At 41.3% G+C, this 16,921-nt stretch overlaps 1 protein-coding gene and 1 pseudogene across 4 annotated transcripts in view, besides 13 other annotated features; one reads left to right on the top strand and one right to left on the bottom strand.

Moving 5' to 3' along the window:
- OPTN (optineurin) overlaps positions 1–16,921 on the bottom strand; it is a 38,227-nt gene that overhangs the window by 18,318 nt on the left and 2,988 nt on the right. The window contains exons 2-8 of one of the 4 annotated variants that reach the window (NM_001008211.1): positions 11,702–11,853; positions 10,976–11,029; positions 10,703–10,894; positions 9,515–9,717; positions 7,356–7,538; positions 3,651–3,724; positions 951–1,103 (exon numbers count right to left, since the gene is read on the bottom strand). In NM_001008211.1, coding sequence (NP_001008212.1) covers positions 951–1,103; positions 3,651–3,724; positions 7,356–7,538; positions 9,515–9,717; positions 10,703–10,868 — 779 coding nt within the window. In that variant the 5' untranslated portion in view covers positions 10,869–10,894; positions 10,976–11,029; positions 11,702–11,853. The remainder of the gene's footprint in view (positions 1–950; positions 1,104–3,650; positions 3,725–7,355; positions 7,539–9,514; positions 9,718–10,702; positions 10,895–10,975; positions 11,030–11,701; positions 11,854–16,921) is intronic. The other 3 variants (NM_001008213.1, NM_001008212.2, NM_021980.4) reach the window with 3 other exon arrangements.
- Positions 3,233–3,442: an enhancer, noted in NCBI's record as "active region_3050". NCBI's record gives its function as "activates an Ori minimal core promoter by ATAC-STARR-seq in GM12878 lymphoblastoid cells {active_cell/tissue: GM12878}" and the evidence as "EXISTENCE:reporter gene assay evidence [ECO:0000049][PMID:35858748]".
- Positions 7,744–8,575: a biological region, named in NCBI's record as "10p13 OPTN proximal Alu-mediated recombination region". NCBI's record gives its function as "recombination_partner: LOC108903148".
- Positions 7,844–8,146: a mobile genetic element, noted in NCBI's record as "direction; reverse".
- Positions 7,976–7,981: a non allelic homologous recombination region, noted in NCBI's record as "10p13 OPTN proximal Alu-mediated NAHR sub-region a', recombines with the 10p13 OPTN distal Alu-mediated NAHR sub-region a within the 10p13 OPTN distal Alu-mediated recombination region". NCBI's record gives the evidence for it as "EXISTENCE:nucleotide sequencing assay evidence [ECO:0000219][PMID:20428114]".
- Positions 8,285–8,575: a mobile genetic element, noted in NCBI's record as "direction; forward".
- Positions 8,483–8,494: a non allelic homologous recombination region, noted in NCBI's record as "10p13 OPTN proximal Alu-mediated NAHR sub-region c', recombines with the 10p13 OPTN distal Alu-mediated NAHR sub-region c within the 10p13 OPTN distal Alu-mediated recombination region". NCBI's record gives the evidence for it as "EXISTENCE:nucleotide sequencing assay evidence [ECO:0000219][PMID:22402017]".
- Positions 9,324–10,767: a meiotic recombination region, noted in NCBI's record as "this region was identified as a recombination hotspot within the HapMap CEU population". NCBI's record gives the evidence for it as "EXISTENCE:nucleotide sequencing assay evidence [ECO:0000219][PMID:20981099]".
- Positions 9,324–11,446: a biological region, named in NCBI's record as "10p13 OPTN distal Alu-mediated recombination region". NCBI's record gives its function as "recombination_partner: LOC107275223 | LOC108903149".
- Positions 10,131–10,447: a mobile genetic element, noted in NCBI's record as "direction; forward".
- Positions 10,355–10,366: a non allelic homologous recombination region, noted in NCBI's record as "10p13 OPTN distal Alu-mediated NAHR sub-region c, recombines with the 10p13 OPTN proximal Alu-mediated NAHR sub-region c' within the 10p13 OPTN proximal Alu-mediated recombination region". NCBI's record gives the evidence for it as "EXISTENCE:nucleotide sequencing assay evidence [ECO:0000219][PMID:20428114]".
- Positions 10,401–10,413: a non allelic homologous recombination region, noted in NCBI's record as "10p13 OPTN distal Alu-mediated NAHR sub-region b, recombines with the 10p13 CCDC3 medial Alu-mediated NAHR sub-region within the 10p13 CCDC3 medial Alu-mediated recombination region". NCBI's record gives the evidence for it as "EXISTENCE:nucleotide sequencing assay evidence [ECO:0000219][PMID:22402017]".
- Positions 11,146–11,446: a mobile genetic element, noted in NCBI's record as "direction; reverse".
- Positions 11,277–11,282: a non allelic homologous recombination region, noted in NCBI's record as "10p13 OPTN distal Alu-mediated NAHR sub-region a, recombines with the 10p13 OPTN proximal Alu-mediated NAHR sub-region a' within the 10p13 OPTN proximal Alu-mediated recombination region". NCBI's record gives the evidence for it as "EXISTENCE:nucleotide sequencing assay evidence [ECO:0000219][PMID:22402017]".
- On the top strand, positions 15,031–15,551 carry SNRPGP5 (small nuclear ribonucleoprotein polypeptide G pseudogene 5; annotated as a pseudogene).

Below are 16,921 nucleotides of genomic sequence, written 5' to 3'. Positions count from 1 at the left end.
AAAAAAAAAGAAAGAAAATAGTTGCAGATCATATATTTAATAAGGGTCTTGTATCCAGAATGTAAAATGAACTCTTATAATTCAACATAAAAAGACAAATAACCCAATTTTTAAAAATGGGCAAAGGCTCTGAATAGACTTTTCTCCAAATCAAACAAACGGTCAACATGAAAAGATGCTCAACATCGCTGTCACTAGGGAAATACAAATCAGAACTATGAGATACCAATTCACATCCACTAGGATGGCTGAAGTCAAAGTGAAAACAGTAAGAAACAAGTGTTGGTATGGACGTGGAGAAAGTGGAATGCTCATGCACTGCTGGTGGGAATGCAAAATGGCGCAGCTGCTTTGGAAAATGATTTGCTGGTTCCTTAGAATATGAAATAGCGATACCGTATGACCCAGCAATTCCACCCATAACGATATACCCCAGAGAATTAAAAACACATATCCCAGTAAAAACTTGTACACACTGTTCATAGCAGCATTATTCCTAATAGGTAAAAAGTGGCAACAACTCTAATGTTTATCAACTGATGAATGAATAAACAAAATGTTGTATATATAGACAATGGAAGGTTATTCAGCAAGGAAAAGGAAGTACTGATACATGCTACGTTGTAGATGAACCTCAAAAACATTATGCTACGTGAAAGAAGCCAGTCACAAAAAACCACAGACTGTATAATTCCATTTATATGAAATGTCTAGAATGGCCAAATCTATAGAGACAGAAAGCACATTGCTTGGAGGAGCAGACAGTGAGTGCTGTTTGGGGGAAAAAATGTTCTAAAATTATATTGTAGTAACAGTGGTTGCACAATCCTGGAATATTCTAAAAAACACTGAAATGTATACTTTAAATGGGTGAACTGTATGGTATCTTAATTATATCTCAGGAAAGCTGTTTTAAAAAAACACATATTTCAAGTTAACCTATTTCATACCTTTCTTTGGCCTCCTTGAGTGCAACTTCAAGTCTCTCCACCTTCTGATTCCCTTCCCTTAGGCACAGCAGGAGCTGGCTCACAGTTAACTCCTCATGTTCGAAGTAATTCTTGGCCCCATCTGCAGATCTGCTCCTATATTTAGACAATGCCCTGTTCAGTATAAAGGTTAAAAGGTTTTCATCAGAAAAATTCCAAAGACTAAGAAGAGAGTAACCCAATATAACTGGGACCAGCTTAAAGGAACTGCTTTCCAGAACATTCTCCAACTAATTCTCAACTAGTGAACAAGCACAGCTGGTCCTGGGACCCCCAGTGCCAAGCTCCTCCATGCTTCCTAGGGAAGGTGTGGAGACTCAGTGAGGCTCTGGAGAGGCCAGCTTACAATGCACACACCCACGTCCTCCAAACAGTCACTGTGTACCTCACACCACACCACAAAACTCACGGAACAGTTCAGCAGAGGCAGCCGTGGCTGAAGGTGCCAAGCTTTCCAGAGATCTAGTCTCAAAGGGGACTGCAGTCAGACAAAAGATAAAGGCACATTGTACAGACCACTGGCCTTTCTCCAAGTTAACAGAGACCATCACAGCTTAAGTCAAGGGGAGAAAACCTTTTTCACTTGTGGTTTCAAATAATGAGAGCAGAGAAATGGAGGCTCTGTTGATATGTCAAGTATTTTTCTCGATTTCAAAATCTGACTAAATCAAGAGACATATCAGTGACAAACAGAATCATGATCACTGTTACAAAACATGAGGGATGACTATGATGATGCTAACGGCAGCTACTCTTTCAGTCACCGACTCAGGTTCGCATAGCTAATAAACAGCCAGGATTAAATCCCGGTTTCCAGGACTCTGAAGCTTCAACTCCAAACCTGGAAATCAATCTCAAACTAATTACGATACTCACAAATGGTACAGAGCTGTTATTTTAAAAATAGCCATGTGGCTTAAAAGAGGAAGCGGTCTTTGCATCTGGATATGAATGATGAGGAAGTGGCTTTGATATTTCAACCAGGGCTTTTTTATTTCCCACTACTTCCAGGAACGTCTTTAAATATGACAAAAGCAATTTGGGGGAAACGTGAAGAATTGTTAACCAAAAAAGGGAATTACTTTCGTTTATGCCAATTACTGTGTTTGACGAAAGAATATTATCTAATACTTACTTTCTTCCTTATACAAGGGCTTAGAAACATAACGGAAGACAATTTTTTTCACGTTTTGTAAGTCATTCTATATGCACATTCATCAAGTTATACAAAGAAGGTTTTACAAATCTATGAGATAGCTGGGCGCAGTGGCTCACGCCTGTAATCCCAGCGCTTTGGGAGGCTGAGACCAGAGGATCACCTGAGGTCAGGAGTTCGAGACCAGCCTGGTCAACACAGTGAAACCCTGTCTCTATTAAAAACACAAAAAGTTAGCTGGGCGTGGTGGCGGCCACCTGTATTCCCAGCTACTCGGAAGGCTGAGGCAGGAGAACTGCTTGTACCCGGGAGGCAGACGTTGCAGTGAGCTGAGATTGCGCCACTTCACTCCAGCCTCAGTGGCAGAGTGAAACTCCATCTCAAAAAAAAAAAAAAAAAAAAAAAACTCCATCTCAAAAAAAAAAAAAAGATGGATCTCTTATCCGTCTGTGAGATAAGAGATCCTGGCCGGGCGCGGTGGCTCATGCCTGTAATCCCAGCGCTTTGGGAGGCCAAGGCGGGCAGATCACGAGGTCAGGAGATCGAGACCATCCTGGCTAACACGGTGAAACCCCATCTCTACTAAAAATACAAAAAATTAGCCGGGCATGGTGGTGGGCGCCTGTGGTTCCAGCTACTCGGGAGGCTAAGGCAGGAGAATGGCGTGAACCCGGGAGGCGGAGCTTGCAGTGAGCCGAGATCACGCCACTGCACTCCAGCCTGGGCAACAGAACAAGATTCCGTCTCAAAAAAAAAAAAAAAAAAGAGATCCTTAGAGTTCTTTTCAGACAATCGTCTCTTGAATAGATGATTACAGGAGTAAGCAGCTTGCAGAAGGCGAGCTAGCAGTCTCCTTGGTGAGCACTGCTTTGCGAGAGTCAAGAGGTTCAGGCGCTCAGTTCTAGGTCTGCCTCCCTCCCCAAGGCCCTGCCACTATTTAAGATGTCTGTTTCCTCACATCTACATAGGACAGGTACACTTGAGACTCCACAGATAAGAAATCTGGGCACTTTCAGGCAACACCCACAATGACTGAGAGTGCTATCAGTCATTGTTACAAAAGATGTTCCAGTATTGGCCATGCCAGCTTATAACTGGGAAGTAGCAGGGAAAAGAAAATGAAAATATTTCACTTATGGAAGCTGGGCAGGCTGGTCTGGGTCAAATGGCACCGGGGAACCAATGAGCAAACATGTCTTTGATTAGGAACAAATCATTGACTTGATTGAGAACCAGTTTGCTTTCACTTTTCATCTGCTGGAGGTGAGACACCACTAGAACAGAGCAGTCAGTGTGAGCCAAACAGGAACCAAACAGTTTTTAATCTTTGCCAGTTTGAGCTGCAACATTAAATAGCATTCAAACCAAATATTCTGGAAAGATCCTGGTATAAATCATAAAGAAGTTACTTCCTCAGGTCACAACATTTGACCTCCGGTGACAAGCACCCAGTGACGAGCCTGCCCAGCCTGTCTGCCTGACAGCCCGAGTCTTCCTTCACATACGTGCCAGTGGAGACTGTTCTCGTGGGCCCAGGACTATGCTTGATTTCTTTTACTGACCCTTCTGCTTCTCCTTCCTGTGAAAACAGAAATGCAAGGGATTTAACACAATATGTCTACAAGACAAATTCTTTGTCAAAAGAAGAAAAAGACAAAAGATGAATTTTTGTGACATGCAACCCAAGGAAGCTTCCAAACATTCAGATGTGCACTGTTTAAACGGGGTGGCTCAGAGGAAATGGAAACGTACCCTCCCCTCACCTGGCACGCCCTGTCGGGATTATAAATATCCCAGCTAAGGCGTGAAGGTCAGTTTCATCTCGCCATACACATTCTACCTGACTCTGTAAACATGAAAGCTTATCTGCTCCTCCCTTTCCTTGGCAGTTCCCTCTTTCTCAAGGTTAAGGTCATACAGAGCTGGTGACAACTCCACATATCCTTCCTTTAAAATGCAAAATGCTAGAACTCACTGAGGTAAAGTTAAAAAAGAGGCAGTTTCTGTGAATGAGATTCACAAAGCACCATCTTGGCCAAGTTGGTTCCCATTAGAAATTTGTATGCACCACAGGTCACTTAGGGAACAAGATAGTCTAAGACCCACAGGATTTGAAAGACATTTATATTCCAATAAGCTCCCAGGGAAAATCTTCAAAAATGCACAAAGATAGTTCTAGGTATATACGTATAAATATATATATAATATATTTAGATATTTAGATATAGAAATATATATTATATAAATATATAATGTTATATATGTAATTATATATTAATTGTATAATATATAATGTATAATATATTCTATATTATATATTATAGAATATATTATATATATTCTATATTATATAATATAGAATATATTATATATATTCTATATTATATAATATAGAATATATTATATATATTCTATATTATATATATTCTATAATATAAATACAGATATATCTATTATAAAACAGATACATATATAAGTGTATATATATTATACAATTATATAATTGTATAATATATTCTATATTCTATGTTATATTATATATTATATATTATAGAATATATTATATGTATTCATTATATAAATATAGATATAAATATAGATATATATAGATATATCTATATATAAATATATATATAAATATAGATATATCTATAAATATATATATAAAATATAGATATATCTATATATAAATATATAGATATATCTATATTATAAATTTATATATATATATAATATATATAAAAATATATAAAATAGATATATCTATATATATAAATATATATACATATAGATATATCTATATATAAAAATATATAAATATAGATATATCTATATATATAAATATATATAAATATAGATATATCTATATATAAATATATATAAATATAGATATATCTATATATAAATATATATAAATATAGATATATCTATTATAAAAAATACAGATACATATGTAAGTGTATATAATACAATTATATAATTGTAGAATATATTATACAATTATATAATTATATAATTATATAATTATATAATTATATATATGTATATATAATTATATAATTATATAATTATATAATTATATATGCAATTATATAATTGTAGAATATATTCTACATTATATATTATAGAATATATTATATATTCATTATATAATATAAATACAGATATATCTATTATAAAAAACATAGATACATATATTTTTTCTCTGCTTGGGGCCATGGGGGTTCTAGATATTTTTGATGTTTCTTCCTAAATCTTGGGCAGTGCTTTCCAGTTCACAGAAGAAACGCATGCAAAACGTGTTTACACTAAAAATAACTGTCACTCATCTGACAGGGAGAATGAGATGCTAACCATGCACCCTGAAGGAAGAAGCTTCATCTGGAAACTTCTCATATGCTGTTGGGTTTCCTGCAGCTTATCGGTTATTGACAGAAGGGTAAGTTTCTTTGGTTAAACTTCTGTCTCAGTAATCTTCGATCACTTGCAGAAGGGGTACTCTGGCAAAATACGCTTTTCAATTGACATTTTAATTATCTTGATTTTGGCCACTGAAATGTATGAGGGGGAATGGATGGCAGGGTTATTCAGAGCTGTTTCCTAACTCTATTGCAGCAAATAAATCAGAAAGCAAAGACAGTCAGACATTCATATTTCAGATATAACCAGTAGGTGAGCTTTTTTGCAAGTTGTTCCCCACTCCTCCTGACTTATCTACAATGTACATTTTTCTCTTCCAAGGACACAATTTTTTTTCTTTTCTTTTTTTTTTAAATTTAAAGACAGAGTCTTGCTCTGTCACCCAGGCTGGAGTGCAGCGGCACAATCATGGCACACTGCAGCATCTCAAACTCCCAGGTTCAAGTGATCCTCCTGCCTCAGCCTCCTGAGTAGCTGGGAGTACAGGTGTGTGCCAATGTGCCTAGCTAACTTTTTGTATTTTTTTTTTATGTACACACAGGGTTTCGCCAGGTTGCCCAGGCTGGTCTTGAACTCCTGGGCTCAAGGGATCCTGCCTCCTCAGCCTCCCAAAGTGCTGGGATTATAGGCGTGAGCCATTACACCCGGCCAGTCCCTTTTCCTGTATCAGATATGTACTCTGACTCATCGAAAGTGACCATCTATACTACAGAGGATTTTATCCTTGTCTATCTTTCTCCCTGTCTAATCTTTGTTAGTAGCAATGAAGGACAGGCCCCCAGCTGGTGCATCGACCTGCTCTGCTCTTCAATAGGGCTGCCCCTATGCCCAGGCACAGTTGTAACAGATGCTTCTCAAGAGCTTAGGGCCCCCTCGCTTAGCCCACTTCATCTGGGGTTGCAGAGAAATTTGATTTTGATAGCAATGGCTTCAAACTCAGTTCTCAGAGGCTCCTGAGTAGCTGCTTTTGAAAGGGAAGGAAAAGCCAGGACACTCCCTCAACCTACAACCAGAGCAGTTCTGCTCTTTCTTTTCTCCTCTTCTTCTTTTTAATGTATCAGGGTTCCTCATACCACTTTGTTTGAAAAGAAGGTTCTGTTGGCCAGGCGCGGTGGCTCACGCCTGTCATCCCAGCACTTTGGGAGGCCGAGGCGGGTGGATCACTTGAAGCCAGGAGTTTGAGACTAGCCTGGCCAACATGGCAAAAACCTGTCTTTTTTATTAAAAATACAAAAAGTTAGCCGGGTGTGATGGCATGCGCTTGTAGTCCCAGCGACTTGGGAGGTTGAGGCACGAGAATCTCTTGAACCCCGGAGGCAGAGGGTGCAGTGAGCCGAGATCACATCACTGCATTCCAGCCGGGAAGACAGAGTAAGACTCTGTCTCAAAACAAAAAAAGAGGGTTCTGTTGTGAAAATATGTTTGCGCTCCCTTAAGTGAACTGCGGAATACAGCTTTGAGACCTAGTTTGAAAAATGACAGAAAGTTCATGTTCGTGTGGGTTTTTTCCTTTTCTGGTCACAAAAATGTTCAATTTGCCAGGACATGATGAAGAAAAAAAAAAAGACTACAGCTTTCATCATAAAAGGTAATTAATATTTTTCCATTTTAGCTATGATAACCCTTACATGCATTATGCTATACTTAGAAAATGAGAGCCAATTTATCTTTGCTACACTGGAATTTCCTCAATCCTTGGCTTGTGTTGACAAGAAAAAGTGGTATTTGTTTCATCTTTCCAGGGGAGGCTTTATAGTTTGCTCAAAACAAAAATAAAACCAAAAACTCACAGCCATCCTAATTTCAACAAAGGAATCTTCTGAGGAGCCGCTGGAGTTCAGCTTGAGCTGCAGTTCAGACACGATGCCCAACAGGTCTGCCTTCTCTGCTTGTAGCCTCACCACCTGGGTCCTGAGCTGGTCCTTTTCCTGCTCCGCTTCGGCCCTGGGAAGCCTGGAGTCATCAGTGGGGTCCTGGAGATGACAAGGAGTAAAGTGAATGAACAGATCAAACTAAGGCTGGGCACCATGGGCTCATGCCCTTAATCGCAGAGCTCTGGGAGGCTGAAGTGGGAGGATCCCTTGAGGCCAGGATTTTGAGACCAGCCTGGGCAACATAGCAAGACCCCCATCTTTACAAAAAATTTAATAATTAGCCAGGTGTAGTGGCACACACCTGTAGTCCCCATTAGTTGGGAGGCTGAGGCAGGAAGACTGCCTGAGCCCAGGAGTTTAAGACTGCCAAGACCCTGTCTCAAAAAAAAAAAAAAAAAAGCCAAGCCAGGCGTGGTGGCTCACGCCTGTAATCCCAGCACTTTGGGAGGCCGAGGTGGGCGGATCATGAAGGTCAGGAGATGGAGACCATCCTGGCTAACACAGTGAAACCCCGTCTCTACTAAAAATACAAAAAGATTAGCTGGGCGTGGTGGCGGGCGCCTGTAGTCCCAGCTACTCGGGAGGCTGAGGCAGGACAATGGCGTGAACCTGGGAGGCGGAGCTTGCAGTGAGCCGAGATTATGCCACTGTACTCCAGCCTGGGCAACAGAGCAAGACTCCATCTCAAAAAAAAAAAAAAAAAAAAACAGTCAAAAAACAAATACAAATCAAACTAAGGACCTGGCCATGAGACTCAATTGCCCCCACACCTACTGACAAGGAAGTTTCTCAACACCTTTATGCCTTGTGCTTTAATGTAGAAAATTTCAGCTTTTACCTGACAATTTTTTTTTCCCAGACAGAGTCTCACTCTGTCGCCCATTGGAGTGCAATGGCGCGATCTCAGCTTACTGCATCCTCCACCTCTCGGGTTTAAGCAATTCTCCTGCCTTAGCCTCCCAAGTAGCTGGGACTACAGGCACGCACTACCATGCCTGGCTAATTTTTGTATTTTTAGTAGAGATGGGGTTTCGCCATGTTGGCCAGGCTGGTCTCGAACTCCTCACCTCAGGTGATCTGCCCACCCTAGCCTCCCAAAGCGCTGGGATTACAGGTGTGAGCCACCGTGCCTAGCCCACGATTTATTTTGACATAACATTTAAAATGGAAATTTTTACATTATTTTATTGTATTCAAATAATCAAAATTTAAAGTAACTTCATGACAAGAAAGAAAGCCTTCCTTGCCATGCTGGAATAATCTGATATCATAGAAATAATCAACCACACTTTGGCAACAGTGGACTCATAAGCTGTGTCTAAAATTCCAGAAAGGAAGGAAAAAACGTTCCCACCACCCAACCTCCTGCCCTTTTCCTCCCATCAAAGCCCACCCACACCCATTCTCCCCACACTTGGCATGGACAGCAGAGGACTCCTTAACAAACCACGCCCAGTGGGGATTTCAAACTTGTTCTGGGTTGTGTCATTACTATCATCTTTGACATCCACTCCCAGGTATGAGCACATTTTTCCAGGTTCTTTGGGTTAAGAAAAATGTGTCTCTTTCTCTTTTCATCTGTGGCAATGCGATAGCCTCCTACCACAACATGACATTTTCCAAAGCATTTTTAAAAAGGAAAATGTAAAGTGAATAATCTCCATTTTAGACTGAGAGAACAGACAAGGTCAACAAGTAAAAATTCTGAGTAATGGGTTTTTTAAACATATTTTTTATATCAAAGACAAACTAAAAACAATTGTTGGTTCTAGGCAGAGGCCCATCTGCACCATCTATAATGAATACAATACAATGATTTATAACCTTACTGTTCTTTTGCCTACAATCAGTACGGTCAAAGCTTTACAAATTTCTTTCTTCTAAAAGAGATTATCCATGACCCTTAATAGGGCAACCAATCTTTTCAGCAAAAGCACTTCTTCCAAGACCAGGCAAAACACCAATCCAGACTGAACCATGAAAGGTTTTGATCTAGGAGTCTAGACACGTAAGATTCCACTGCAAATGTCAAGGGAAAAAAAAAAAACAACATCACAATGGATCGGTCTGCTCACCTCAGATGACCTTTCTGATTTCCCTTTTAGTTTTCCAAGCTCTTCCTTCAATTTCTCATTCTCATGACTCAAGGCCATTAGACGCTCTTTTGCTTCTTTGCTCTGTATCTCAAAAAACTGGCGTTCTTCCTTCTGTTTCTCTGTCCAGGCCGAAAGCTCCTCAAATCTCCCTTTCATGGCTTGATTATTTAGCTTCATGGCTTCTGCAGGAGGTTCAGAGTGATGGAGTCACACACCAGGAAAGTGGACTTGATCTGATGAACCAAATCTCCCTCTAGTCCACTTGACCACATGGCTCTGAATTGAAAGATGCCATGCTTAGCCTTGGCCCAAGGGTCAGCAGCAAAAAGACGAAGTGGTTTTTGCTTACAGAAAAGACTAGCGGGATGAACATCATTTCTAGTCCTTAAAAATCCCAAGAAAATAAAGTGGATTTGGGTACCGCCACTACAGCACAAATATCTAAATATCTATGGTTACTAGGAGCTAAGGAAGTTCTTACTACTCCTAGATTCAAATACTGGTCCTGCCCAAAGCCATCTTGAGATACCAGGATGCTTTCTCTTAATAAGGTAATATATAGGACTAACTCTGGAACCATAGCAGCCTTTCTTCCTTTTTCCTTTTTTTTTTTTTTTTTTTGAGTCAGGGTCTCTCTCTGTCATCCAGGCTAAAGTGCAGTGGCACGATCATGGCTCACTGCAGCTCCAACTTCCCAGGCTCAAGCAATCCTCCAACCTCAGCATCCCCAGTAGCTAGGACCAGAGGCGTGCACCACCACGCCCAGCTTTTTTTTTTTTTTTTTAATTTTTTTGTAGAGATCAGGTCTTGCCATCTTGCCCAGGCTGGTCTTGAACTCCTGTACTCAAGCAATCCTTCTGCCTCGGCCTCCCAAAGTGATGGAATGACAGGCATGAGCCACCACGCCCAGCCTCTTTTTCCTTTTGAATGGGCTAAATATCATTATGCTACTTCCTTGAGATACACACAGTTTTTACTTGTACCTGTTTCCAAAAGTAAAAATCAGAACAGATTTAGCCTTGCCAAATGCTAAATCCTGTGCTTCCCCACCAGCTACCACCTATGGAAACGGGGAGAAGGGAGCTCACCACCAAGCCTTAGTGCAAAGGGATGGCATTTCTTGCAGGCCCAGGATGAATGGGGCACACAGGGGCCAGCCCTGCTCACCTTTCAGCTGGTGGTTCTCGGTCAGGAGCTCTTTCATCTGCTGCAGCAGCTCCTCCGGGGTAAACGTGTCCAGGTTTGGGTGGGCCAGGTGGGGGGGTCCATTTCCTGTGCTTTCACTGGGGCTGTCCTCCTTTTCAGTGAGGCAGCTGAGAGGTTGATGGGACATTGCAGAAGTTCCTGTGGAAAAGTCACCTGTTGAAAATAGAGCTGTCCCCCGCCCCACAAGGGGTCCCCGGGAGTCCCACAAACCCATTGGCGATTGCTAATACTTACTCCAAAAGTTGCCCACTTTCTCTCCAGTTACATTTTGGACATTTTTGATTCTTCCTTTTAAACAAAAAAGGTATATGTAGCTTCAGAAAAGTGTGTGTGTGTGTGCACGCGCATGTGTGCATGTGTGTGTGTGCGTGTGTGTGTATGGGTGTATAAAAGGGTACAATGAGGGCCGGGCGTGGTGGCTCACGCCTGTAATCCCAGCACTTTGGGAGGCCGAGGCGGACAGATCATGAGGTCAGGAGATTGAGACCATCCTGGCTAACACAGTGAAACCCCGTCTCTACTAAAAATACAAAAAATTAGCCGGGCTTGGTGTTGGGCGCTTGTAGTCCCAGCTACTCGGGAGGCTGAGGCAGGAGAATGGCGTGAACCCGGGAGGCAGAGCTTGCAGTGAGCCAAGATCGCGCCACTGCACTCCAGCCTGGGCAACAGAGCGAGACTCCGTCTCAAACCAAAAAAAAAAAAAAAGGGTACAATAAGGATTTGGGAAATGGGGGAGGGAGACGAGGGTATGACATCATGATGATCAGGATATATGTAGACATGGGCAAGGTATCATGAAAAAAATTTCCCATGCAAATCTTCAAATTCAAATCTCCTTATTTCAAGTAAATTGCATGGTAAGTGAATTCTATCTCAAAAAAGCTGTTTTAAAACCTATATTTAGTTTATTGTGTTTTTGGTTAAGAAGAAAGGGAGAATTAACATTCTTTGAATGCTTACTATGTGCGGACTCAGCACACCAGGCCTGTCACTGACTAATCTTCATTAATGCTGAACCAGGCAGCTGTTTCAAAGGTGAGGAAGTTGGGTTTACAGAGGCGTACGGCTCATCCAAGGCCAGGAAGTGGCACCACCAGCTATCAAAGCCACACCTTGTAAAACAACAAAGTTATATTACTGAGTACTTAGGCTTTAATAGTCTATTTTTCAATGCATACTGAAAAGACTAAGATATCTTTAGGTATTGCATGGTCTGAAATTTTTTTACACATATCATTTTGTTTTGTAGAGGCATCCATGTGGACATAGAAATGCAAGACCAATGAGTAAATCCCCACTCTGCTTCTGTGTTACCAACCACCCAGGCAAACATGTTTCAGCACAAATTTCCACCTTCACACTTGGTGAAAATGATGTATTTTCTTCAAGAGCTGATGGGGATAGATTATAAAGCAATACATAGCAAAGGCAACTCCTCCCCGCTGACGCTGTGTACACATGGCCCACACACGCATTCTACAAAGGTCAAGAATGGCCAAAGTCCAGAGACATGCCTGAAAAAGCATATTATTTACTTCCAGGATGTTTACTGTTAGAAGATTGTTTTTGAGCCGGGCGCGGTGGCTCACGCCTCTAATCCCAGCACTTTGGGAGGCTGAGGCGGGCAGATTACGAGGTCAGGAGATCGAGACCATCCTGGCTAACACGGTGAAACCCTGTCTCTAATAAAAAAAATACAAAAAATTAGCCAAGCATGGTGGCAGGTGCCTGTAGTCCCAGCTACTCCGGAGGCTGCGGCAGGAGAATGGCGTGAACCCAGGAGGCAGAGCTTGCAGTGAGCCGAGATCGTGCCACTGCACTCCAGCATGGGCGACAGAGTCTCAAAAAAAAAAAAAAAAAAAGACTGTTTTGGTTTTTTGAGAGTCTCTCTCTGTTGCCCAGGCTGGAGTGCAGTGGAGCGATCTCGGCTCACTGCAACCTCCACCTCCTGGGTTCAAGTGATTCTCCTGACTCAGCCTCCCAAGTAGCTGGGACTATAGGCGTCAGCCACCATGCCTGGCCAATTTTTGTATTTTTAGTAGAGACGGGGTTTCATCATGTTAGCCAGGCCGGTCTCGAACTCCTGACTTCAGGTGATCTGCTGGCCTCGGCCTCCAAAAGTGCTGGGATTACAGGCATAAGCCACTGCTCCTGGACCTTAGAAAATAATTTAAAATCCATCTATCCAATAAATAGGTATTAAGCACCAATGTACACTATACAACTGTGATCAGGCAGAAAGCCACGCATGCACAAAAGGGGTGAGGAGAGAACTTGGAAGCGAGCATCCCATTTCTAACGGGGGAAAGGCACTGGTCTCAATGAGATCCATCAGCCACTCATGACTATGGAGCCTGTGTGAACCCTGAGTTGTGAAGAATCCATTACACATGATATCAGTCCCTGGAAGATAGAGATAAGAGCACTGCCTGTTTCTGACATGTAACTGTGTCATGATATCTATGTGTGCATTTAATAGCCATCAATTAAAATAAAACAAAATGCACCACTGTGGTGTTGCGTCCTTGGCCACAGGAGGCAATACCTTGGGCTTTCTGTAGATCTTCTGGAAGCAATACCTGGTAACCTCCTTTTGGTGTGAGGAACTTGTAGGTAATCAGAGACAGAGCTACCTACCACACCCTGTGACAGTACAGCCTGTGCCACTTCTTCCTACAAGAGCTAGTACCAAGAGGGGCATTCTCATGTAGTCATGTAATGAGGGTGATGGCAATCTTACGAAGCAGAAAACACTGATAAACCATAGGATTCATTTTTGAACTTTTTGTATCTATGTGTCACACACCCAAATTCACTTAGAAAACAGGTATAATGCAGAAGTGTTCCATAGCTTAGCATTAGGTGACTAGAACAGACTGCTCTTCTTCTCACAAAAATAATCTGAATAGACCATCAGTTTCTAATTTTCTGTAAAATTCATTTTTTTGTACCCAGAATCATCTCATTAAAATAGGGTTTTACTGAGTAACAGTGTTCCTACCTAATTTGCAGAGGAATACTAAAATTCTAGGTAATAGACCTAAAAGAGAAAATCCTTGTCATCTGTATCATTTACTTGCCAACAGTTAATTTTTCTTAGGTATTCAGTGATTATACTATATTTTGCAAAGGCCATGAAAATATTCAACAGATTTTTTTAAAGAAAGGATCTAAGCAGATTTTTAGAAGTGTGTTTGGTTTCATCTTATTATATGCACAAATTTCTCCTTTTTTTCTGAAAATGAAAGGAAGGGGAGGGGAGAAGAGAGGGAAGAAAAGAGAGAGACGTTTCTTTGAAAACTGTTAAGATTTTTTTCCTCAATGAACTTTTTTTTTTTTTTCAGACAGAGTCTCACTTTGTCGCCCAGGCTGGAGTACAGTGGCACAATCTCAGTTCACTGCAACCTCTGCCTTTCAGATTCAAGTGATTCTCCTGCCTCAACCTCCCAAGTAGCTGGGATCACAGGCATGTGCTACCACACCCGGCTAATTTTTGTATTTTTAGTAGAGACAGGGTTTTGCCAAGTTGGCCAGTCTGGTCTTGAACTCGTGACCTCAGGTGATCCACCCATCTCAGCCTCCCAAAGTGCTGGAATTACAGGCTTGAGCCACGGTGCCGGGCCCCTCCATGACCTTTTATGCCTCCACCAAGCCTACAGATACCACCATAATAAAGTTAAAACTGGTTCTAGTTGTTACATCAGTGTTTCTGACTTCTCACATTGCCCGGATTTTATAAGCATACGAGGAAAAAAGTGGGGTCGTGCTAAGGGAGGCCACAGAAAAAAACATTTGTACCATTAGCCAGATGTGTGGCCTTGGGAAGTCACATGACCTCTAGTGGTATTTATTGACTCATCCAGCAAATGATAATCCTTATGAACTCTGTGAAAAATATTCTTTAGTTTCTAGAAAGACCACAATCTAAACCCCACCCTTCAATGCATATACACCAAGTATCACGGGCAGGCCAGTCACTCTCATGAATAGCTATAACTGTCCTAATGACAGCAAATTCTGTGATATTGTGTATTGTTAGAAAAAATATTTTGTAATTCAAATGTCATCAAACATAAGAAGTTAGCATAAACGGTAAATATAAGCATGTAAATACTTAATACCAAAATTTTACTAAAAGTAATTTAATTGATGCCGGGTGCAGTGGCTTATGCCTGTAATCCCAGCACTTTGGGAAGCCAAGGTGGGCAGATCATTTGAGGCCAGGAGTTTGAGATCAGCCCAGCCAACATGGTGAAATCCCATCTCTACTAAAAATACATAAATTAGTAGCAGAGCTCGCACGTCGGCGTAGTTACCACCAGCAGCCACTGCACCTCTTTCTGGCCGACTCGCCTCCCGGTCCTGCGGTCGGGCCCCTGGTCACCCCCATGCTGTCCCTTCTTCGTTCCTTGAAGATCTCGAATGCCACCTTTTGTTGAACATCTCGAATAGCATCATGTTCTAACCAGATGGCTAGAAGGGATTTATGGACAAGAAGTTATCATTGAAATTAAATGGTGGCAGACACGTCCAAGGAATATTGCAGGGACTTGATCCCTTTATGAATCTTGTGATAGATGAATGTGTGGAGATGGCGACTAGTGGGCAACAGAACAATACTGGAATGGTGGTAATACGAGGAAACAGTATCCTCATGTTAGAAGCCTTGGAATGAGTATAAAAAATGGCTGTTCAGCAGAGAAACCCATGTCCTCTCTCCATAGGGCCTGTTTTACTATGATGTAAAAGTTAGGTCATGTACATTTTCATATTAGACTTTTTGTTAAATAAATTTTGTAATAGTAAAAAAAAAAAAAAAAAAAAGTAGCTGGGTGTAGTGGTGCATGCCTGTAGTCCCAGCTACTCGGGAGCTGAGGCATGAGAATCGCTTGAACCTGGGAGGCAGAGGTTGCAGTGAGCTAAGATCATGCTACTGCACTCCAGCCTGGGTGACAGAGTGAGACCCTGTCTCACAAAAAAAAAAAAAAAAAAAAAGAAAAAAAAACTAATTTAACTGATTTTGGATGACTCAAAGGGCACTTCATAATTCTTAGGTTATCTTAGGACATCACTATGAGCTATCACTGTGCAGTGCACATATGAAATATCTGTCGGTGGAATGCCAGTTACAGAAAGCTTCATTCTCTGTTTTTAACATCACCTTGAGCTACATTCAACTGAGGAAAGACAGAGATACATTACATATCCTTGCACATGTCTTCGAAGGTTACAGAAATTGGAACTAAGCCATTTATTCTAAGATTCTATCAAATAACAGAGTTTCCCATAATCAACTGACCTAGATGTGAAGTATGTTATTTCTAGGCAAAAGTGATATTTAATGATGGAAGGATGAATTAATTGAGCACAGGATTTGTCAAGATTCCACCAATGAGGAAGACTGAGGACTGCCTAGTAGATGGATGGCCAAAAGCAAGTCCCCTAGATTTTATTCCCAGATCTGCTATCTCAATTCCTGATTGTGTGTGTGTGTGTGTGTGTGTGTGCATGTGTGTGTATATACATTTAAATTCCAGAGATCAAGTAATTCTAGTAATGACCTGACCTTGTAAACACGAGCATACATCTGATTGCTGAGTTGGCCTTAGAAATGATCCAGACCAATATATTCAATGCAAGAATGTCTTGTCTGGTTTCGATGGCACATGATCCTATAGAGCAGGCTTGAGTATTTCAATGACAGAGCACGAGTGCAGTGACCTTAGCAGGCACTGTCTGTTCCACTGTGGGATGGCTCTAGTGGTCAGAAAGTCATAATGTGTCAAATGGTACCTGCCTTACACTGACTTCCCCCCAGTGGACACTGCACATAGTATAAGGTTAGGCCCTTGCCCTGGTATGGCCAAGTCTTCAAATTTGCTAATGAAGTATTCGTAGGTTCAATCCCTACATGGGATAAATGAGTTTTAAACAGTGAAAACTTGCTTTTTGACCAGAGACAAGAGTTGGCTACTGGCAAATGCTATGAAGAGTTTGGGTTCACAAGGGGGGTAAGATTCTAACATTGCATTGACTAAACCCTTCCCACCTTGGAAAAAGAACTTAGAGTATGCATCCTACTAATGGGGTAAAAGCAGCCTCGTCATTACACACTAGAAGGGATATTGTGACTTCGTATTTTAGTAATATACAGAAAATGGCAGCAGCTTTAACCTAGCT

The sequence above is a fragment of the Homo sapiens genome, chromosome 10, assembly GCF_000001405.40.
Source record: "Homo sapiens chromosome 10, GRCh38.p14 Primary Assembly".
Classification (NCBI taxonomy): Eukaryota; Metazoa; Chordata; class Mammalia; order Primates; family Hominidae; genus Homo; species Homo sapiens.
The sequence above is the reverse complement of the archived record's forward strand: the minus strand, read 5'-3'. Positions and strand labels throughout refer to the sequence as shown.